Below are 25,272 nucleotides of genomic sequence, written 5' to 3' on the forward strand. Positions count from 1 at the left end.
ATATATTTACCACTGGGTTCCTGTCTTTTCTGATTTGTTCTGTTCTACAAGTAAATTGACATGTCTATTAGTTAAATAGAAGCCGAAATCTTATCTAATATCACCAATAAAATTCACAATTGCAAAAAAATAAGGCAATATACAATAAACAAACAACTACATGGGGGGGGAAAGCCAGAGGAAAATTAGAAATACATTACTATTTTTCTCCAGTTAATTGGATTGTGGGGGTGCGGTTCCTCTTTTTTTTTTTTTTTTTTTTTTGCATTTTCCAAATCATCCATATTTATCTGTACTATTATAATTTTAGTTGTTTCAGTGTGGGTGTTTTCAGATTACATATTACAGAAAGTTTTTGTTTTAGTATGAAATTGTTTGTTGCCACTAACCACAGACATTTGACTTAAATTACAGTGGCTTAATTAAAGCTAAATGGAAAGTTGTCTGTAGGAATGTCAAATGCAAAGTTGTCTGTAGGAATCCAGTAGAGATTAACAAAACAGAAGAATACTTCGTTCACAAATTAAATCGTTATTTCAGTATTTATTGAGTGTGTTGGGTACTGTTAGATGTTAGAATGATTTTTAATTTGATATAAGCATACAAATTCAGAGCTGGTGAAAACCTGAGAAGACTATGAGCCCATATCCCTTTGTTCATGGATAACAAAACAGAATCATAAAAGGGAGTGGCAAGGCTGCCCTAGAACATACATGAAGACAAACATAGTTCCCTCCCTCAGTTAGTTAGATCGACATATACCCACAATTAAAATATGTTGTCAAAGTGCTTGGAAGAGCAAAAGCTGGGGTGGAACAGCATGGACAAAGTGCTTAAATGCCCCCAGTGAAGAACAGCAGTGGGGACTTCTTAAAGGAACTGACACTCCGTATGAGAATCAAAGAAATAAGCAGGCTTTTGCCAAGGGACTACACAGGAAGGGCTTGATGGCTGGAGAGAAGAGAGCATACAAAAAAAGTGCACAGTTATGAGACAGTGACAATGCCTGTTCAGGGACTACTCAACAGCTCAGCCTGCCTGCAGTACAGGGGGCATCAGTGGGGTCTGGAGTGCTAAGGGTGGCAGGGAGGAGGAGGCTGTATCTGTGAGAAAGCTTGGTAAGGAGGTAGCAGAACAGGGAAGACATGATAAACTACGAAGCTGGAACGCTGTAGGGGTAGCAGTGATCATATGCCAGGTTGGAAAATGTCACTTTTATCTCTTAGCACTGGGGCACCAACAAATGGATTTAAGCCCGTAAGTGACTGGATTAGCATGGACCTGAGGGGTTAATGCTGGGAAATCAGTTAAGAAGTGACTGTCACAATTTAATTGAGAGATGATTGTGGAGAAGATAGCAGTTGGAGAAGAGAGAAAGTAGACTAAATTATAGTACGGAGGAGCTAAGTAGGGTTGAGCTCTACTGCTGAAAGAGACAAAAAGGTCTATGGCAGGGACAAGCTTTGGTGTTGAAAGAGAACAAGAAGTCTATGGCAGGAACTAAAATTCAAATGCCTTCATAGATGAGACAGGTAAATTAACAGGTACCCCAGTGGTGAAAGAGGGAGTGGTGGAGACTGTCGTAAACAGAGGGTGCAGGCCCCACTTAAAGGCATCCAGTTACTCATTATCTAAAACACTGGCTCGTCAAAAGAAACCACTGTGGGATATATTTGAACTCTAAGCCATGAGTTCAACAGACAGTGATTCTAACCCTGGCTACTCATTTGAATCATTAGGGCAGCTAGGCCCAAACCCTGGCATTACTTCTCAAACATTAATGGCTCCAGGCTGGAGTACGCACATAGATACATATTTAAAAGCTATCCTGGTGATCTAAAGTGCAGTCAGGGTTGAGTACCACCCCTGGCAACAATGGCTTCTAGATGTTTAGCATGAATAATTTGGGTGGACAGTGATGTCAGTCATTAGGACAAAGAATACAGACAGGTGCAGACATTTTCTGCAATAGATGTTAATATGGGCTTGAATACATTAGATGAAAGAAGTCTGTTAGTTACCTGTGTAAAGTCAGGTGGGAATTTTATAAGAAGGCTCAGAGACTTTATATTCTATACTTTCAGCCTTTTCAAATATCAAAATTAATTAACCACTTGGGCTCCTAAATTAGTTGATGGCTTAAATAGAATGCTAAGGGATTATCCAATTAAGAAAATACTCAGGATATTCATGACATTCTTAAGATTTTATTTAAGATATGTGCACATTAAAGATGCATTTTTAATGAGGAATTTATATCTTAAGGGAATGATGGCACTACATTGGCCATACACAAACTGTGTCCTATTGTCAAGGTGACTAAGCTCTTCACATATAGTAAGAAAAGCAAAACAAAAACAAAACAAAATTTTAATACCACCAAAAAACAAAAGAACTCATCTTGCTGCCTAAGGAAAAAGCAAAAATAGTAGTTATTCTGATTTGTTCTGATCTCTCAAATAATGAAATTTTGAAATTTCAGAAATGTTCATAAACCTGAGTTCCATAAGCATAGTAACTTTACATCTTACTTTTGCTATGCTGATACCTGAAGATATACAAAAGTCTTTGTGATAATGCTGCTATTTTTCTACCATGAACTGTAAACTTGGTAATATTTGCCATTTTGTGGTTTCTATCTTTAAATACTTTTATCTTTCTATTCACAAACATGAAAAATTGCTTAACATCAGTAACCATCAGAGAAATGCAACTCACAACCACATTGAGATATCATCTTACATCATTCAGAATGGTTACTATTAAAAAGTCAAAAACAACAGATGTCATGGATGCATAAAATAGAGAACACTTATACACTGTTAATGGAGATGTAAATTCATTCGACCTCTATGGAAAACAGTATGGGGATATCTTAAAGAAGTAAAAATAAAACTACCATTTGACCCAGCAATGCCACTATGAGGTATCTGCTCAAATGAAAAAAAATCATTATATAAAAAAGACACCTGCACTCACATGTTCATCACAGCACTATTCGCAGTGGCAAAGTCATGGAACCAAACATAAGTGTCCATCAGTGGCTGATTGGGTAAAGAAAATGTGGTATATATACACCATGGAATACTATTCAGTCATAAAAAAGAATGGAATTATGTCCTCTGCAGCAACATGGATAGAGCGGGAGGCCATTATCCTAAGTGAACTAACTCAGAAATAGAAAATCAAATATTGCATGTTCTCACTTACAATTGCTACACATAGACATAAAGACGGAAATAACAGACACTAGGGATCTCAAAAAATGGGGAGATTGGAATGGGAACTGAGGCTTGAAAAATTACCTATTGAGTATTATGTTGAATATTTGGGTGATGGACACACTAGAAGAGCTCAATCCCCATCATTATGAAACATACCCAAGTAACAAACATGCACATGTATCCCTTGAATCTAAAAGTTTTTTAAAAAAAACTTGTATTTTTATATTTAATTATCAGTCCCTCTAAACTCTGACTGACTGGCATGCATGCTTGTCAAGACTTCTTTCTAAATGGGGCCTTTAAGTAATCCTTTGACTCCACGATGCTGTTTAAGTAATTAGATCTGGTGATTTGAAGTTTATTTATTGAAAAGACAGTGGAATAGGCCAAATAATGGCCCTCTAAAGTATAACTATATCCTAGTCTCTGGAATCTGCGAATGTTACATATATATATGGACTTTGCAATGTGATTAAGTCAAGGATCTTGAGATGGTGAGATTATCTTGGATTATTCAGGTGGGCCCAGTTTGTGGTAATTTGTTACAGCAGCCACAGAAAACTAGTACACCTATGACAAGCCATCTGACACATCTACCAAGATAAGTACTGCCACATCTCATTTCTCAGTTGTGTTAAGACTGAAAATAGTAGAAAGGGGATTTAAAGATGCATACAGTCTATGCATCTTTATATGGTGTCTACTATACAGGTAAGCTATTAGAATTAGGTAAGCCCACATCAGGCTACGTGGCACACAGACTGATGGGAAGAGAACAGAGATGGTATCTAGGAACTGATAGATATGTACAAATGCAAGCAGATCAGTGAGGTCAACCAGCAGGAAGCAAGGTTCTAACCACAGGGTTTCAGAGACAAATTCTAGATCCTATGGCTATGAGCAAATTCTGGTGCTACAGACTCAGCAGGCACCAAAGAACAAAAAGAAGAAAGAAAATTGGATATAGGATATACTGGAAAAGCCACATGTTCTTACGTTAGAGATAACAGGCAAAAATGTGGCTCTACAAATTACTAAACTTGACACAATGATTGAATCCAGGTAAACCTACGTATTCTTAGTTTAAATGGAATTATATCTACTGTGTTAGATTGTTCTATGAAGATTAAGTGAAATATTAGACATAAAAAATTATATACAGTATTTCATCCATAGTAGATAAACACTCATACAATATTAAATTTTTAAGAAGGGAAACACAAATATAGAACTGACAAGGCAGTAAAAGTAGTTTAGGGTTGTTACAGGAACTTGGGATGACACATCTTATATTTGTTCAGCCTATGATGAGACAGATATCAAATGATACTAAAGATAGAGAAAAAAGGAATTCAGATAAGAAAACTGTAAGGGACTCTCATCCAGTTAGAGGTGGTTAAGATGATTAATTAATTAACTGATAGTTACTGTTTAAAATTAGTCAATAATTATTTTAAGAATTTTACAAGTACATTTCATAATTATTTAATTCTTATGACAACTCTATTATCCCCATTTTACAGATGATGAAATAAAGGCAAAGAAAGATTAATTATCTTGCCCAAGGACACATAGCCAGAAGTTACCAAATTTGGATTCTAACCCAGATAATTTAATTAAAGACCTTTCTAAAAGTAGAAAAAGGTTATGGTAACATCACCCTTTATGAAAATCACACACCATGCTTTAGTTTATTTATTAATTAGAATATCTGAGTATTTACCACGGGTAAAGGAAATGTTCTTTAATAATCATGACTTGGACCTTTTATTTATGACAAATAACATTCTCTTTAATTCTTTGAAGTTAGTCTGTATATATCTTTTTATTTAAAACATCTGTGGGCAGAGTTATTTATGATTACAAAGGAAACTCAGACTGTTGACTGCTAGAGAAGACTGGTTAACATTTCTTATCATTCAACATGTGGACCATGGGTATCCATTGTTGGATATAGTTTTAAATATGATTATATTCCGCAAGATCATTTTGACCTATAAAAACTTTAATTTGAAACCATCACCCTAATGTGGAATCAGCGTTCTTGGAGGTAACTTGTACTAGAGCACTCTGCTTGGTACTCAAAACTACTCCATTGTGGTTAACTCATTCTGCCTGTTCCCCAGGGGCCATTTATATGAGTCACAATTTAGTTAATGATATGTGGTAACCCAAAAAATGTTAAATTATGGTTGGAAGTTTTTTCTAAGCAAATGTAATGTTCCGCTATATTACTATATAAATTCAGAACAAGGTCACATACAGTATTCTGATTATATTTATAAAATAAAATAAATTTCTACCTCTTTTATGAGGTACTGTATGTGACCAATACAAGGTCACATACAGTATTCTGATTATATTTATAAAATAAAATAAATTTCTACCTCTTTTATGGGAAAAAATCCAAGGTTAACTTAGTTTAAGGTAAACCTTAACTAACATGTCAGAGCTTGTGTCCTAAAAACATAATAAGTATTCATTGCCTGGTTATCATTTAAAAGGCATATTCTTTAGCTCCATAAACTGCTGCATTCTTCCCTGAGGAAAATATCGAACAAAATAAACAGAGGGACAAAGTAGAAATAAAAGTTAGCTTGATATGATAAAGTAAAATTATTTAATGTGGTTGCCTATAAAAGTATCTAATTTCTTAAGAAAAAGAGTCAGAATTGAAACTCATTATTTGACACTATAAAATCAATTAGTTAGAATATTAATATAGAATTGTTTTAGAAATATATATCCTGTGGGATTACATATTCTGTGTGATTTTTTTTTTGCATCCTTCTTGATGGGTCAATTATATAGGTGTAGACTCCCAAGGCTCTCCCGATGAGTTCCATGCTTCTAAAACCTTTCAGAATATCATATTGTCCCTTGAAGGGGAAAAAAACTATAGAGAAATAGAATGTGATCTAGCTTCCACCATAACGAATATCTTTTGTCATCCCACAAAACACACCAGCTTGAGCATAATGAATCTTTTTGGTCTCAGATATTTATTGACTCATTTATAATCATCACAGACTACTACTACCTTTCAAATACTGTATCTTTTCTTCTAAGGGTTCAAAATGCTTTGATAATAACTTAAATTCCTAACTATCCATCACATACAACCATAACTGACATGGAACATGGCATACAGAAAACAGTATTTATCCACATACAAGAGCAGTTGTAAAGCAAAACATTTATTTTCACTGAACTATTTGAGAATAAAGAGCAGGCATTAGTCTACCCCATTTACAGACGGGAAACTAAGCAATAAAGTGAAATCTTTTGTTCATATTCACACAGAAAAACTGTGGAAAACATAAGCTCTCTCTGATTTCCAGCTCAGTGTGGAGCAACTGAAGCTCTACTTTCACTTTCTTAAGAAATAGTTACTTTTACAAAACATATTTGGTCTACTCAAGAAATATATTCAGGTTGATAATCTCCAGCTCAGTCTTTGAGAAATTTATTTTAGACTTCAGCCAAATTCACTGTCTTAATTATGGAAGACTTGCTAGTTTAATAAACCTACTCTACAGCCCACTGCTCGGTCTTTGACATCAGAATTCTAATATAGCCAGGTCCAAAATGCAAATGGTGCCATCTACATTACTACCGCCACTCCAGCAGCACTGTTATTAAATTAATAGCACAGTCTGCAAGAAAAAAACAGCAGGGACCCAAATGGTGTGGAACCAGTTGAGTTTCTGTTTAACCTTCAGCAGATAGAAACACAGAGCCAGTTCAGTCATGGTTCGCTTAGTCAATCCGTACTCAAGAGCTGTGTCCAACTTCTGTGATCAAAGGAATTAAGAACCGAAAAAAGGAAAGAGAACAGTAAGGAGACATTAGTTTCCTAAGTACAAATATAAATAGGTTTCAACTGAGTGAGCTTCAATGTTCTGATTGTTGAAGAATTGGCTGACCAATCTAGAATGAATTCAAACATTAGGATTAAAGACATAATATCTGTAGAATGATTTGAGCCCTTCCCAAAAAGAAAGCACATGAAGTATATTTTAAAAACAACAGCAACAACATGGCATTGTATTAATATAAATTCACGTGCTAGTATAATTTAATTGATACTTTTATTATTTGAAAATTTACTAGCTGCAACTGTGGTATTTACTACAGATAATTTTGCATTAGCTGGTTTATGACATAGTAAATACTGGATAAAATTCCATTTTTATCTCAGAAATAAATTATCTCATTTTCTGTCTGCATTATACAAATATAGTTATTATGAGATCTTTATTTTTGCCCTGGCTCATTCAAAATCATGTGAAACTGACCATTGGGAAAACCTGGGCACGCTTAGAAGAATATATTTTTGAATGTCTTGCTTCCTATTAGTTTCTTTAAAGTTTTATGACTATCTCTGTCACCCACAGAAAAGTTATTCTTATAAGATAAGCAAGACAATGCTGGCCTTTCTTAATTTGCTTCTGCTGCAAGATTGCCATTACTGGATTCAGTTCAGCTGAAAGTGATATTAATCATCATGCTGTCACTGTCCATCTACCTCTTGAGGCTGTGCAGGAGAGCCGTGGGGCTTTCTTACATGACCTCTGCCATGAGGTCATATAATGACTCTGCATTTCTACACCAAAGATTGTAAAGATATTGCATGACAGAAGGAATTCAGGTTAAAAAAAAATAAACTCTGACTTGTTACACTAACTTCTTAAAAGAAAAAAAATTATTTCCTCAGTAAATCAATATGTATTTGAGCTACTCTCTTAGTAATTGTAAATAATTTAAAAATTATTACACATTTTGAAGTTACTTTGATTCCATCTATTAAATATTATTTATGTTATTTATACATTTATAACTGAAATTAACTGATATACATTTATAACTGAAATTAACTGAGGAGTAAATTTAGTTATTTAATATCAAAAATGTTACAAAAACACTAAACATGAAATTTTTTCTCGCATATGAATACACAAAAATGTATATCTAAATGAAGAATAAACATAAAATGAAATGTTTACCTTTAGTTTGTATTTTCCTTTCAGGTTTCTCTTGTTTTTCAGTCTTATCTTTGTGTATTTCTAAGAAAAAATAGAATTTATAATTTTAAAACTCTGAAAATGTATAAAATTTAAGCCATAGCTATGACCTAAACTTTATAAACCTACCACAAAGTTTAAATTATTATACAGTTACTAACAAGTTTATTGGAGTCTAAAAGAGTCTTTGTAACATATTGCTAAACAAATCACTTATTTATTGAAATAAGGGAAAAATTGGAGTTATCTCAAAATTAGAGTTATTTGGAAAAGCTTAAACATTTAATAGACAGAGCTATGTTGTCACCATTTTCAGTGCTAAAATTGGTCACAAACTATAATTATTTTTATTTCAATTACTCTCAATACAAATTAAGAATCCTTAATAAGAATGTCATTTAGATTTAGGAAGATTTAGTTTTTACATATTAAATTAAGAATTTGTGAAATGAACTGTAACAACTATCTAATAGGAAATATATTTCAGAAGTATTGACTCTAAGCTATGTTTATAATCAGCATTTGGCATTACATTTAACCAATAATTACTGCAAGCAGATATGACACATTTCATAGAATAAGTTAGTTGTACTTTTTTTCTAAACATCAGGTTTTAGCAAATATATTCAATTTTCTGCTAGCTTCAGTATACATACATTACCAAGGCTAAGAAAATGGAGTTAATTCTGAATTTACAGTTAATTTGGATAGAAGTGAATTTGAGATTAGAGTTTACAAATATGATTGCTACCTTTGAAAAGTGACTTAATCTTAAATATAGTGTTTTTTCTTAGAAAAATGCTAATGAGGTTTACTTATTTATTTATCACAACTTTATTCCACAGATGGTCTGAGATGGTGTTAATTACTGTACACATTTTAAATTCTCCATTTGTAAATCTGCATTTGCATTTTTGTAGTTTTTCCAAAAGTCTACTAAATTAAGATCAACCATGGCAACACCCTAAATATCTTCAGAAAAGACAGCTACTAGCTTTCATTCACCTGTTAAGGAGGTAACCACCATTGTGAAGGTTTTCTTCCTAATTTTTCTCATTAATCAGTTATCTTACTATTTACAGGGTCACTAATCTACTCTTATCTCAACTGTGACTTTGAATATGGTGATGAAGATATGAACAGGTAAGGCACTCATTCTTGTCCCTGAAAACAATTCTCCAAAATGTAAGGAAATATCTCCAAATGACATAGGAAATGCCCATCTTCCTGTCTCTCTCACCATTTTGTTTATTTCTTCTCTAGTCTCCAAATTTTACTCTACAGCAGGGTTTCTTACATTAGCACTTTTGACATTCTGAATTGGGTGAAGCATTATTTTGGGGAGGGGCTATTTTGTGCATTTTAGGATATTCAGCAGCATTCCTAGCCTCTACCTTTTAGATGCCAGTAGCCCCCATATCCACCTCCCAATCTTGACAATGAAACATGTCCAGAGACTTTGCCAAATGTCTCCTACAGGGCAAAATGAATCCTAGTTGAGAACCACTGCTCTAAACTTACATGATAACCAGAGTAATCACTATCACTGTCTAGACCTATACTATCCAATGCAGTAGCCACTAGACATTTGTGCATATTAAGGACATGATATATGGTTAATCCAAATTGAGATGTGCTGTAAGTATAAAATATACACTAGATTACAAAAACTTAGAATAAAATATAAGTAAAATACCTCATTAATAATTTTTATATGAATTACATTTTGAAATGATATTTTGGTCATATTGGGTGTGATAGTTTTATTATTGGCTCAGTTTGGCTAGGCTATTATCCCAAGTTATTTTATCGAATACTAACCTAGAGTCGCTTGCAGGTATATTGCAGATGTAATTAAAATCACTAATTAGTTGACTTTAAGTAAGATGATTTTGCAGATTTTGTATAATTTGGATGGGCTTCTCTGATTTCTTTGGAAAGCCTTAAAAACAGGCCTGAGATTGCCCAGGGCAAAAGGAGAAATTCTGCCTGTGAATGACAACTTTGGTTGACAGCTTCTAGGCTCAACTTGCCTGTGATCCTCCCTTCCTGACTTCCTGTCATATGGGTTCAAAAATGCCTGGCCAGTTCCCACAATCGCATAATCCAATTCCTTGTAATAATTTTTTAAAAGTATAAAAGTATCTCCATAATCTTCTACTGGTTCTACTTCTCTGTTTAATCCCTGACTGATACATTGAATTCAATAAGATATATGATTAAAATTAGTTTTATATTTTTCTTTTTACTATTTTAAATGTGGCTACTAGAAAATCTTAAATTACATATGTGACTCCTATTATATTACTACTAGACAGGTCTAAGGCACGTCTAATCCCAGGGGGAGCAAAGGACCTTTACAAAACTTTAGGTCATCCACAGAGACAAACTGATTTCAAATGAACTGAAAAAACAAACTTGATATTCTCTCCTGTCAATACTGTTTTGCTTGCTCCCTCGTCTCCAAGCCAACAGATGCTGTGAAGAAGATTGGTGATTTGTTTAATTCAGGTCCATAAAGCAAGTAAAATATCAAAGATTTAGACTGGTCTTTGGACGTACTAAGGGAGTTGCCTTTAAGAGATCATTCCTTACTCCTAGTAGGTATTAATTGGAATATAGAGATGGCATGAAATTTTTAAAATTGAAAAATTGCATGGAATGCTACATTCACCATGTAATGGGGAGGCCTTAAAATTGTCATTTAGAATAATATTTTTTTTAGAGGTAGGGGTGTGTGCATATGTGTGTATATATACATGTATGTCTTCCACAGATACCAGCTGACCATTCAAAAGAATAAAGAAGGGATTCTGGAGCTCACACGGGAGAATAAGACGTGGGTTAGACTCTTCCATAGAATCCAGTGCTGAAGGCCATCTTGCCTGAAAAAATCCTGTCAGAGCCTCCTACTCTAACTTAGATTTTGCAGAAAAGACTGGACAGAGTTGTGGTGGTTTTGGGGACTAGAAAGACGGTCCTTGTTGATCATAGTAGGGTTTCCTGCAAGGTAGGTGTAAGTTTGCACATCAGAAAACAGATGAAAGAAGTACTAGCAGGAGCTACCTTGCTCCTCTTAGCTCTTGTGTACTCAGACATATCCTGACAAAGGAAATGAGTGCTAGGTAGTAGCAGTAACTGAAATGAGCAAGGGACCATCCTGAAAAAAAGAAATAAAGACAAATCTCAAAGACTAGGGTCAAGACCACCACTCAGGAGAAGGGAAATGCTAGGGTAAATGTATTATCTCCCTTTCCCAAATACATGAAAGGGAGGTAACTCTAAAGTGAAAGGTAAGTACTTGCATGTTGGATATGCTTCATAATAAGTTTTACTTAAGCAAAAATAAAAATAAATAAAGGAAAATTAGACTAAAAAATGGCAATTTATTTCAGAGCAGTTATTTTTTACTCTATGGTAAGCAGAGTAGATGCAACCCAGTTCTACAACTTAGATCAGTCTCACAGGGAAAGCCTCATTTTTTATTTTCCTGATTCTGCACTTCAGCCTTAGAACAAACTAAGACAACCTCACTGCTGTGGGCAGATGCAGGCAGTTGTTTTGCAAGCAGAGGTCAACCATTTTTAAAAAGATACACACACAGTAAAGTCTCTAGAGCTCACAATAAAGTATACAAACTTACATAGGCAGATTTTTGTTTTACAGGTACATTATCAACTATTTTTAACTGAAATATTAATATTTCTACAGAGGCAAGCATGGCAAAACACAGCAGAACTAGTAAAGACATACACACACCTACATTTATTTGCTCAGGAAGACAAAAAATTATTTCTGATGATTCAGACTTAAGGAGAAATTAAATGTTTCTTTGCATGTTTTATTGCAACTTTGCGTTCTCTTTGGGGACTGGATTCCATCACTGGTGTCACTGACTGTTGATATCTGTTGTCAGGAGAATCCAGTAAAGCCTCCACATGGCGTGCCAGTTCTGTCTCCTTACACTTTAGCCAGGAAATGATGCTATTCAAGCTCCTGTCCAATTCAGTAACATGTTACTAATTTAGACTTTGGAAAGGTATTTTTCTCATAGGGAGGCAATGCCTGATTTGTTACCTTTGATTGCTCTTTCCAGCTAAGGCTATATTTGTATAAATTGCAAAATCAAATTTAAAAGATTCGAGTCATTAAAGGTAGAAATTTATTGTCCAACAATCTTCAAATAAAATTAAGTTTTCTATATTATGTTAATACTAGCTTCTGGTTATTTAATAATTTGCAAAGATAGGTGAATGTCTCCACTTAATATAACATGAAATAATGTATAATAGCATAAAATTTTACTTAAACATCATGACACCTTTTGAGGATCACTTTACTTAAACCTGAACCAAACCTGGATACAAGAGACTTAGAAGAAAGGCAAGGCAGTCATTATTTACCTCCACATATATGTCCTTTGCAATTAGGTGGATGTCCAATGTCTCTGAAAAGGTGTTAAGTCTCAGCACCAGATGCTAGTTGGAATCATAAGCCATATTTGTAACCGGTAAATCTTAAAAATTGTTTTGTGTCTTAGAAAGCACAGAGGTCAAAGTATCTTAATCCACGTGTGAGTCTGCCCATAAATTCTTAAAGGTATGAGTTTCTATTTGAATTTTGAGAAGGGAAGAAGGGAAAAAGACACGGAAAAAAAGTTACAATTATCTTAATGTGTTAGGAGGCAACAAAGGGAAATCCCTTTATTCTACTGAGTCACTGGTAGCTTTGCCTAATAAGAAAGAATTAGCACTCCACTAAAGTTGCCGGTGTCAGTAATGGTTTCAAGGGCACTGAAGGATTTAAGAGAAGGGCAAATTAATTTCAAAGAATGTAGGAAGTGTATTTCTACTTCTTTTACTACTCCTGACTTTCCCCTAACACTTTTCTGGTGGCTGGTAGGGAGGTATGAGTGAAGATAAGGGAGGAAAAAGTAGTATCTCCTCTTAGATCCTTATCGCTATTCATCTCTCACTCCAAGACTAAAAGCTTTTGAAATCCAAAGAAAACATTATCATACTGGGCTTTAAATGCATTTACAACTTTCTTTCATTAAGGAACTCAGAGAATTTAAACTCTGACTTTCATGGTTTATCATTCAATGGCGATAGCAATGAAATATATCTTCCTCACACAGACTGTTTTTCCAAAGTACAATGCCAAACAGAGGAGGAGTTATAATAATTTATTATGGTGTTGAGAATAAATAAAAACTAGTCACATTTTTAGATTATTCTTTATTTCAGGATTCCGATGATCTGTAAAGAATTATTTTAATTATTTTAATAATCCTCATATGAAAGATGTTATAAATCTATAGTATACTAATATAATTAAAATATCATGCATTTTGATAGGAAAATGTAGACATAGATAAAACTATTAAAAGATCTATACAAAAATATGTGCATCTCTGACATCCATTAAAATACAGCTTAATGTTGAAGATAATTAACACGGGAGTCAATCTGCTCAATTCAAATCTGATTTCCATACTTACTAGCTGTGTGAACTTCATTTCCTCATCCATAAAATAAGATTAACAGTAGTGTCTACCAGATAGGATTATATGGGGATTAAAATATGTTAAAATGTAAAACATTTAGAGCATCATTTGTGTCAAGTAAGCATCATGTGAATGCCATCTATTATTATTATTTGTCTCTCTCACTAAATAACTAAATTTGATGAGGGCAAGAATTATGTCTATTTTGTTCCACATTAAATTTTCAATGCCTAACATGATGACTGGAATATACTAGCCACTTGAGAAATGCATACTACTTGAAAAAATATTCAACCATGATTATGAGTTATCAATTCTTGCATATTTTAGAAGGTGGTGATGGATCATATTTTACTTGTTTTTTATGATACAACTTTCAAAATACTATTTAACTACTAAAATGATTATACTTGAAAATTTGAAAAAATATTTTATTTCTAAATATTTTAAATTTCTGTTAGAAATACAAGGGAAAGTTGCAAGATTTTACTACTTATGGAAATAAGATATGCCAAAGGTACTTATAAACTGCAACGATTGGCCAGGTGCAGTATCTCACACCTGTAATTCCAGCAATTTGGAAAGCTGAGTTGGGCAGATTGCTTGAATCCAGGAATTCAAGACCAACCTGGGCAACAGGGTGAAACTCCATCTCTACAATAAATAAATAAATAAATAAATAAATAAATAAATAAATAAATAAAAATGAGCTGGGTGTGGTGGTGCACAACTGTAGTCCAGCTACTTGGGAGGCTGAGACAGGAGGATCCCTTGAGCCCAGGAGGTTGAGGCTGCAGTGAGCCATGATGGTGACACTGCATTTCCGCCTGGGCAGCAGAGTAAGACCCTGTCTCAAAATAAATAGAACAATAAAAGAGAAAACAGAAAAACAACTGCAACAATTGAAAGTTTTTTATATTTCAGAAATTTTTTCATGTACTGTTTTTTCTAGAGCACTGAAAAGCTAAATTGTAATTATATTAAGGACATTAAGCATGTTTTTAACATTGCTTTATTTCAAAATTTATAGATGCTCATACAAAAACTAGATAAACTATAAGTAAGTATATTATGCCTATAATAAAATGTTAATAAAATATAACTATTTCAACAGAAAAAAATTGAGAGCAAGATTTAAAACCGAGCTTAAAGGAAGGAACTTTAAATTTCTATTCCCTTTGTTCTGCAGATTTAATATTATTACATTTCTCTAGCATTCCTTATTAATGATTAGGGTAGGATAATCTACATTCTATTTTGTCTTATAACACTTGTCTCTATATTTATGGTATTCTACATGCAGAAATTACAAAATTTAGCCATTTACTAAATATATTTATGCTGGACATTTGAGAGGACAAGGATAGATTTTAATGATCCTCTTGGTAGTCCAAGTTAGAGTTTTCAAGTATAATGGAGAATTTTCTTGTTCTCATGACGTGTGCTGAATGTCCCATAGGAACATACAATTACTCAAAGGGTGTAATCTCTAAAACTTCACCAAACTCCAAGTGAAGATTCACTTCATTAGTTTTTCTTCCTCCTCATGAGGCCGTTTAATTCTGTCAAAATGTTTACATAAGGTCTATGTCTACCACAGTGCCAATGGTAATCATCAGGCCAATACATTTTCCCCAGACTCTCTGAGCTCAACTTCCATATGTAACTGGGAAGAAAGGCCACAGGCATTCAAAATGAGAAGGCTGGTAGTAGCAGCAACCAATGGAACAAAAATCAGTGAAAATAGATTGTATCAGTGATTCCTGTGAATGAGCTGATTTTGTAGTGACGTATTTCTAAATTGTTTTGTTATATTACATGTGTTTTGCTTATGATCGTTTTTATCTACTTATGATCATACCAAAGCTTGCTGTTGAGTAGACAGATAGTTTGTAATTTTGTCTAAGACTTACATGGCCAGTTTAAAGCATGCAATTTTTCTCTATTAATATGGCAAACTGTTAATAAATTCAAAATGTTATCAATTGAAGATTTTCAAATGGCAGATTCAGGAAGTTAAAAGAATAATCTCTGTCATCAAGGCAATCATCCTGATTCTTTTAAGATGACAATTCTCTTTATTAAATTATTATAAGGGTTGTGTATTTCAAAGAATGCCTCTCATTATGTTTTCTCTAGATACCTCACAAGCACCAGATAAAATAAAATGCCTTCTTACATTATTTCCCATTTTAATATTAAAAAAACAAATTATTTATTCACTTAAACATAGAATCTTTATAAGAATCTGCCAATTGTTATTAGAGCACAACAGATTAATTGTAACAGATGAACAAGCAAATCTTGTTATCTATTTAGTGGCTAATTAAATAATGCCAAACACAGCTGTTTGCTGAATTATTAATATTTTAGATAAATATTCCAGATTATCCGTAAATATCTGTATATTCTTTGATTTTCTAAAACTTTTTATGTTTGATTGGTAAACAAATATTTCTGGGGAAAGCGTACTACTCACCATTAATGAAGACTATAAAAAGGAATACTCTCTCCCCCTTGAAGCACCTAGTATGTGTATGACTTAATGGGCAACCACTCCAGATACAGTGATAAGAAGATATTAAGAACAGTTTCTTTCAGAGATGTTGAAGCCCATAAATGTAAATTATTTTGGATCTTTATTTTATCGTGTTTGATTACTTGGTAAGATAAGCTGAACTTTTTCCAGAAAAAATAATAGATTCAACACTGTATACTAATGATCCTTAAAAATTTTCAAAATAAATATACTAAGATGATATCTACCTAATCTCATTTTTGCCATTAAATTTGTTATCTCAGGTTAATTCATTTTTTCTCTTCGAATTTTATTTTCTCCATCTATAAATGAGATATCATTTCCCATGTGTACATAAACCAGACAGAAGTACAAATGATTGCAAATAATACCTTTTATAGATTATCAATGGTGAAGTTTGCAGATTTGGAGATTTGAGTAAGATTTTGGCTGTGTTAGCGTGTTTCATATTTGATGATGTGCTAGATAAGACTGATGTGTCTGTACATGAGAATTATCTGGGGAGATTTTAAAACATATTCCTGAGCTACTACTCAAATGTTATTAATTTGTCTCTCATGACAAGGAAATTTTTAGAGATCTACAATTTAAATAAACTCTCAGGTAATTTCAGAACCACAGTCCAAAGTGAAACTACTGTCTTGATCAATGTTTCTCAAATTTTAATGTGCATAAGAGTCATTAGGGATCTTAAAAGGCAGATTTTAATTCATTATGTCTAGATGGAGCCTAGATTCTGCATTTCTAAATAGGTCCCATATGATGCTAACATTGCTGGTCCATGGGCCATGCTTTGAATTTCAAAGCTCTAGTCCAGATGAAACTCTTGATAAAATTATCAATGTATGGCATCACAGTTTAATCATAGAATCGTAAAATATCATAGCTAGAAAAGACCTGGACATCAGTAAATCTGGCAGTTTTGTTTTACAGGTGTGAGAACTGAGAGCCACTGAAGTGACTTGACCATAGCTGGTTAACAGCAGAAAGGGAAACAATACCAATACCTCCTTGTTGCATTCATTCAAGCTTATCTGTCATGTTTAAAATTTTGATATGTTCAGATGATGAGCATCAACTATCAATAGTTATTCCAATGGCTTAGGTCAATGCGACAGTGATATATATATTAACTTAGTTTGCATCCTATCATTCATGTTTTGGGATTTTGTTAACAGTAGATTTATATACATTAGCCATTGTGTGTAAACAAATTATGCAGTTATTCATTTATCTTTGACTGTCTAACTCACTGGCCTCAGGATGCATAAAATTCCCTATTTATAGCATTACTCTTTTGGGTTGCAATGGCTCTCACTCTGATTGTGAGTTAGAATACCATTGTGGAGATGTTACAAATTCAACTATTTAAGGCTTGACCCCTACAGATTGTTATTTAGCAAATCGGAGATGGGAGGTAATCTAGAATTCTGAATTAGAAACAAAAATTAGATGATGTAGACATTTGTGGCATTCCTGCTAGAATCCAGTATTCCTGATAATATTCCTCTTAATTTTGGGAACCACTTTTTTCCCCATGCTAACCCACCCTTCATTTCCAAGGGCGGGGGCCCATTTCATAGGCCTTGATAAAGTGCATATTTCTTCTCTCTGTCCAACTGATTGGCTCCAACAGGGATATGCTACTAAATCCAGATTAATGGGAGTGAACCAGATGCTTTCGCAGAGGCATTGAGGAAGAGAACAGGCTCTTCTACTGAGTTGCTAAGGTAAGATAATTTTGGCCTCAACTTTCTGGTCCCATACTAGCTGCTAGGAGAGAAAAGCCTGCCTGAGACTGAAACAAATGAAACAGAGGAAGGAAAGCAGGTTCCAGAAGTGAAGAAAGAGGATTTACTAATAACATGATTAAAAAAAAAAAACTATATCAAGTCATTTCAGAAGCCAACTCTATTTATGCCTTTTAATCACTTGAACAGAAAAAGTGTTTTTTTGTTTGCTTGTTTGTTTGTTTGAGTCTCGCTCTGTCACCCAGACTGGAGTGCAGTGGCGCCACCTGGGCTCACCGCAGGCTCCGCCTCCTGGCTTCACGCCATTCTCCCGCCTCAGCCTCCGAGTAGCTGGGACTACAAGCGCCCGCCACGACGCCTGGCTAATTTTTTGTATTTTTGGTGAAGACGGTGTTTCACCTTGTTAGCCAGGATGGCCTCCATTTCCTGACCTCGTGATCTGCCCGCCTCGGCCTCCCAAAGTGCTAGGATTACAGGCATGAGCCACCGCCAATGTGAGTTGGATTTTGGTCTCTCATGAGCAAAAGAGTTCTAATTAAGACATCACTTGAATCTGACACACAAAGTTGAGAACCATTGGTAAGCTTTCTGTTATGCTTTTTTTGTTGTTGTTTATTTTATTTTTCAACAGACCCTTTCTAAATGAAAATCTATAATTTAAAATAGGTAAAACTTTAAGCCATCTGCAGTCAACTAGCACATTAGTTTCTCTTGAATTTGAAACAGGAAACATACAGAACTGCAGAGAGAAGATTCTGAAATACATTAGACCTAGCAGCTTCCCCCTCACATCCTTTTCTCTATTACTCATCTTAGGTACAGGTAGAAATATAACACCAATGAAATTATTCTTGCTCCAGAAGAACTACATAAAATGGTTGGGCCTGAGTTGAGTTGCCTCAGAGACTCTTTTAATTCCTTCTGATGTTGGCACCAAAACCTGATCTCTTGCTTTCCTTGGCCTATTAATTCAGGCTCTGGTTTGACCCACCATTATTTGTTTCATCCTGGGTCACTTTGCGTGCCTTGACAAAGATGAGCTCTTTTAGTAGCACGAAGTACTACAGCTGCCTGAGTCAGTGGGCTCAGAGTTTACTTCTTAGCAACTACCTGGAGAAGTGACTGGATCCTAAATCTCCTTTGATCTCGCCCTCCTCAGCCTTTTTCATTTTGAGCCAACCTCCATACCTACTGTCTATTCTCTCTGGGCTTTGTCCCCCTCTCACCCCCATCACAGGTCTGCTCCATGCTTGGGAAAGACAGGTAGAAGATAAAGCTCTAAGCTCCTCATGCAGCCTGAGAGCGATATGCGATGGTGCAGTTATGGAGATGAGCTTTGATCTAGATTTATTTAGAGGAGACATCCAAAGATAAATGTATACTTAACAATGTTACTAGGGCTACCTAGTAACCAATATTCTGAGGCTATGAATTTTAACAAGTTTAGTCATCTTTCCATTCTCCTTCCTTTTTTCATGCACCGTATTTTTCAGACACTTAATGTTCAGCCTGGTGTAAACCACTGAATCTGCTGGCAAAGATGGATGCAATGAAAGCTCTGACACACACATACGTCTATCCATCTTACTCCCGATGACATGATACAACCTTCTGAATGGCCTAATCCTAAAGTCTTGAATATTTATGATGCTTAAATTTTCTGGCTCTTTCTCATTCGCTCAGACTGCAAGAGCTATTGTGGATTGTAATAAAGTAAGAAAAATACACAACGAAAGAACTGAGTTAAAATTTACCAGGCAGCTCTTTTCAACTTGCAGAGCTTTAGGGAAATTTAAACATGCGACTATAGGGGGAATTGTAATTTGTTTTGCTGTAAGTGAGGAATCTCTTCCTCTGCCATTGACATGCATCAAGTACAATCTCATAGAACATCATCCTCTATATTGGGTCTAGCTTATCCTTAAGGACAATTTCTTATTTCAAAGAGAAAGTAGTTAGCAAGAAAGGAAATTAAACATAATGTAGATTGGCTTCTGGTGTTTTCCTCTAAGGCAAGAGATAAACCTATAGCCCATAAGGCCACCATGGTCCTAAAATTAAAGATCAGTTTCTCCTGTCCAAAAAACTAAATATGCATAACTCTGAATGACTACGATTATTCTTTCTTAACTTTAAAGCTAGATGTCAGGAAAAGACATTACAAAACCTAATTCCTTGTTAGGAGCCTATTATTATCTTCTAAAATTACATATTCCAAAGGATATAAATGCTGTAATTATTATTCTTATATACAGATATATTATAGATGGAGGTTTAAGTGAGAATAAACTGTAAAAAGGAGATAGAGATAGGTGTATCTGTTAAGTTGCACTTAAAAGTGTTAATACCAGTATTTTATTAGTAAAATAAACCAGTCATAAACCAGTATTTTATCTTTGAACATAAATAGAGAAAAACACTAAGATACCTATGCTGAAAAAAACATATATTTTTTAACTTTGCTTTAAGACTTTTGGGTTTTCGCTCTCTCTCTTTCTCTCCCTCCCTTTTTCTTTCTCTCTGAGTGTGTGCATGTTTGCGTGTGTGTGTGTGTGTGTGTGTGTGTGTCTGTCTGTCTGTCACTGCGTCTGGCCCTGGTTTTAACTTTAACTTTGGGTCTTTATGAATAATTAAGGGAATTAAAATTTATATTTCTAAAAAATAGATATCATTACTATTATTCACATTTTCATATGCTTTCAGTTCAATTTATTAATAACATCATATAAAGATTTACCCTCTTCTTTATCAAATATACAATGCCCCAACTATTCTAGCTTATTTACTGCCTTATTTGATCATGTATTCATTAAATTTTTAACTGTGGTATTTGCAGGACATTTTACTAAGTAAGGTGATCTTTTACACCTTTGCAATTACGTAAGCTATAAAATAACATGTTGCATTGATCCTGATGCTAGCAATACCACATCAAAACTCCATTACTGTCATTTACTATTTTATTTAATAAATGTTCATCATTAGTCTTTGGGAATGTGGTAAGCAAATAGTACATGTTCTCTTCCACCAGCTCATTGCTTGGCTCATAGAAAACACTTGAAAAAGATTAATTGAAAAAAATACATTTGTTGATTGAGTTTAATCCCAGAAGGCATAAAACATGTCCGAATTCTGTATTAGTGATTAGCTAAGGATATACATTGTACCGTCGTGAATCTTAGACCTCTGTGCTTTGCTCTCACTCAGAAACCTAGGAGTTACCCAGAAAGCAAAATGTTTATTTTCTATTACAATCATGCTCAATTTTTTCCCTTTTATATTTCTTAGAAATTTTGCAAAACTCTGCATCCCTTCCTACAAGTTCTAAAATTTTTCATCATAAGTTGAAGGATTACAAGTGATATAATTTATAGATTATTGTAAATGTTGACATTTAAAAATAAAGTTGCCATATCCCTTTTAAAAACTGAGTTGATGGACTCCAAACACTATAATATTTTTAGATGTCATTATCAACTTAAAATATTTATCAAAAAATTATTTCTTAACATTTGGAAGGTTTTCATCTTTCTCTTTTCTCTTTGAATTCATATTTTCATTCCACCTCTCTCACGAAAATTTTACCCAAGAGCTACATTATGATTCTCTAAGGAAAAAAGTGTACATATTGAAAATTTTAAATTTCCTCCATATTCTGTGATTTCACATCCTGTAATATATTAACCTTTAGACTATAAGAATCTAAGAATCTAAAGGTTAATATATTGCAAATCTTCATAAGTTATTATTAAACCTGAAAAATGAATTTTTTTTAGAATGCCATCGAATGAATGGAGCTTTAAAATCACCTATCTGTGGATTAATGTATTTTACAGTTAGAATGAGACAGCGTTCATCAATAAATCTAACCCTATATTTTACTTTTAAAGATACAAGTATTGAGAAGCCTTATGCACATCTGTACATACACACACACACACACACACACACACACACACACACACACACACACAGTCTTATTGGGGCAATGTTACTTAATTTTTTTGTCTCCTTCCAAGTAACGTTGAATACCACAAAGAACCAACAACAGATTTATTTATATTTGAAGTGGAAATAGTACGGTTATAAACCGGGCATGCTCTCAAGCAGATCAATTTTAGGAAAACATTCAAATGACATTCAATTCCTTTAAATCTCTCTGCAGTTTTATACCCCTTAGAAAGTGAGGTGCTAACAGATCCATGATGTATACCCTGGTGTGAAAAATATTGCTTAAAAGCACACTTCCAGATGTGCAAAGTATACCACTATACACAACAAATAATTTTTTCCGAAAATGTGATTTATAACAGTATTTGGTTTTCATACTTATAATTTTTAGACAACTATGTAATAAAATATAGTATTTTCTAAAGATTCAGTGCCTTGGGGTCTCATCATGAAGTGTTTAGTAATAGAACTTAGTATTTTAAAATTTTGACAAGTTGAAAAATATGCATGAAGAATATAAAGACACTAGGTACTACATGTAATACCCTGAAGCTATATTTATATATAACAACAGATTCCACAGGCTAGCAGAATCAAATATTTCATCCATATTAATAATCTGTTTAATAATCAATACTGCAACCCTGAGATTAGTCGACTACACCATTATTCCATACCAAATTAAAAACTGCAAACTTCAACCATAAATAACAAACTGGCTGAATTTTTATTTTGTTAAGAATAGCAGTAACTCAACAAATAAAACTAAGTGTATTCAAATAAAATGTTTTAGGTAGATATAGGGCAGTTGAATAAAAAAATGCTACAGCCTGATAATTTAGGCAATAAAAAATGACTAAATATTATTGAATATATATGAATTGAGAAGGGTATTAATGAAGAGTCATTTAGATGTGTAAAAATCAAATGTTTTAAAAGACTATCATTCTACATTGCCCCCAAATTCCTTCTTAAACCAACATTTGTAAATGTAAACATGAGTAAAATAACTTATAAGACAAGAATAATTTATAGAATTTCTCCCCAATAATAATGTTAAAAGTATACTTAAAATGTAGAATATGTATTATAAATGTTTTATAAAATATTACCTACTGCTTTAAAGCTCTCATTGCCTCTATACTTCCATGAAAGAAAAGCTTACACATAAAAAATAATAATTACAATGAAATAGATCTTCTTGAATTCACTTTCAACTAAGGTTTATTATTACATAGCCTCTGTACCCAAGATAGAGCATCTGAGATTTTTACTTAAATGTCAATTTTTTTCATGTAACTGTGTGAATAATACTATTAAGAAAATATATTCAGGTGATTTAAAGTCAATTCTCCTAATTCTGAGTATGTAATCTTTAAGGACATTAGTGCACATGTGTTGAAGGACATATATCCCTTAGACTATTTTTGACTAATAAACATTTCTAACATTTTTTAAAAGTACCCTAAACAACTATTTAATAGTTTTTCTGGCAAAAATTTGATTTGCTGAATCAAGGAAATAATTTAAGAAACAATAGTAAAACAGCTTTGTATGAATTTGCAGTTTATACTAATTACTATATGAAGCTTAATTTTAAAATAATTTCAAAGAAAAATTTAAATCAAAAGAAAAGATTTTTTATTAAATAGTAAATATCAATTTATGAAAAACATGGCTTTATAATAGTCTTATGGAATTCAGTTTATAAGTATAAATGAGCAAACATTATTTATCTGTTTTCCCTTCTTCCATTTCCAATGAAAATAAACGTGCATAAGCTGTTATTTCCAGATAATGACTAATAACTCACTTAAAGCTTGACTATGTTCACTCTCTATGGGAAATCAGCTATAAATCTCTTGAAGTTTATAGACAAATCTAGAATCTCTAAACCTGGATTTGATGGCTGAAGTCTGTCTTGAGTACTTGAGTTCTCATTCTGGATTTGCAGGTGTATAAACCCTTCCTTTCTCCTCACAGAGCTTTATAAACACTTTCATTTCTGGATGCCTTTGCCATAGTTGAGTTTGACTGGCTTAGCTCTTTTTTGCTGTGTAAGTTACAAATCCAAAGTTTCTAATTTAACATACACTAAGTGGATTTTACCCCAGATAGTGTGGGGTAGTCATCATTTTCTCAGGGAAGGCTGAAACTGTAAGTTTGGATCCCATTGTTTGAATCCACAGTAGGTATTAGGAGAGAGCAACAGAAGCCAGGGTTATCTTCCTGGGTAAACCCTCAACAGCCTGCCCATGTGTAGCAGTAACTAAAACACTGCAATTGTTTTAAGTCTGGCTTGAATGTTGGCTGTTTTCTCACAACAAATGTACCTCAAGATGGTACTACCTGCTCCCCAGTGCCCCTTCCAGATGCAGTTCCTACCCCTTCCTGTCAAAATCTCTGTCTTCTGAAATTCCTGCCCCATTGCTGTCCTCCTTTGTCCTAGGTTTATCGTTCTTATCATTCAGGTTGTGACCACTTCACTCAGTCACCTTATCTATTCCTGCAAGTAATTCCTCTACAGCACATCCAGGCACATCCAGGTAACTCCACTCCATGACAGTGACACATCACACATACCAACTGGATATGCCTTTGCCTCCTAGGCTGTTATGTCCCTCACCGTCTTGTTGTCCTGGCCCATAGTCATCACCTAACATGCAAAATAATGATGGCAAAAAAAATAAAAGGAAAAGAATAAGAATAAACATTTAAAATCAATAAATCTGACCATGGTGAGAATAAATCATGGGTGTCATTTTCTGGGCCATTTCTAAGGCTACAGAATTCTCCCCTCATTCCTCAAATTCCAGCTCATATTGGTCTGTGTATAAATGAATCCATACAAATCTACTGAATAAGGCATTTAAAAAATAATCAACAGAAAAGTAGTGAGATCACCTTCATTGGAAAAGAAATTGAGTATTTTTTTTCTGACTATAAATCTTGACCTAATTATTAAACAAAACCTTTATATTAAAATAAGTAAAATATATTTGAACCATGCTGAAAACCAATATTACCATAAGAGAAAAATAATTATTATCAAAGGTGAAAACAACTAACCTTTTTTTCTCAAGGGAGGCTCATCTATTTCTCCTAGACCAAGATTAAAAGAAAAACAAAGTTAGAAAATATTTTAGCATAGAATAATATGACATCATTATTTTCCCCTTTTGTTTATTTAAAAAAATCTATTAGTTTTAACAATCATAGTCTTTACATTACTTTGCTTCCCAAATTCCAGTTTTTAAGTATAAAGTTTGTTTATATA

General features: G+C 33.7%; 1 protein-coding gene and 1 long non-coding RNA gene across 8 annotated transcripts in view, besides 1 other annotated feature; one reads left to right on the forward strand and one right to left on the reverse strand.

The window, feature by feature from the left end:
- TRDN (triadin) overlaps positions 1-25,272 on the reverse strand; it is a 420,612-nt gene that overhangs the window by 305,937 nt on the left and 89,403 nt on the right. For 5 of the 6 annotated variants that reach the window (NM_006073.4, NM_001407315.1, NM_001251987.2 and 2 more), the window contains exons 4-5: positions 25,065-25,097; positions 8,231-8,290 (exon numbers count right to left, since the gene is read on the reverse strand). In NM_006073.4, the coding sequence (NP_006064.2) occupies positions 8,231-8,290; positions 25,065-25,097 (93 nt within the window). Of the gene's footprint in view, positions 1-6,400; positions 7,019-8,230; positions 8,291-25,064; positions 25,098-25,272 lie in introns of those variants that run through there. The other variant, NM_001256022.2, reaches the window with a different exon arrangement.
- LOC105377982 (uncharacterized) overlaps positions 1-25,272 on the forward strand; it is a 51,063-nt gene that overhangs the window by 2,857 nt on the left and 22,934 nt on the right. The window contains exons 2-3 of one of the 2 annotated variants that reach the window (XR_001743833.2): positions 9,331-9,391; positions 17,930-18,023. This is a non-coding gene — a long non-coding RNA (uncharacterized LOC105377982). Of the gene's footprint in view, positions 1-9,330; positions 9,392-17,721; positions 18,024-25,272 lie in introns of those variants that run through there. The other variant, XR_001743831.2, reaches the window with a different exon arrangement.
- Positions 7,356-7,556: a silencer, noted in NCBI's record as "peak6087 fragment used in MPRA reporter construct". NCBI's record gives its function as "represses an SCP1 promoter by STARR-seq MPRAs in K562 erythroleukemia cells {active_cell/tissue: K562}" and the evidence as "EXISTENCE:reporter gene assay evidence [ECO:0000049][PMID:32103011]".

This window comes from Homo sapiens, chromosome 6 (assembly GCF_000001405.40).
Source record: "Homo sapiens chromosome 6, GRCh38.p14 Primary Assembly".
NCBI lineage: Eukaryota > Metazoa > Chordata > Mammalia > Primates > Hominidae > Homo > Homo sapiens.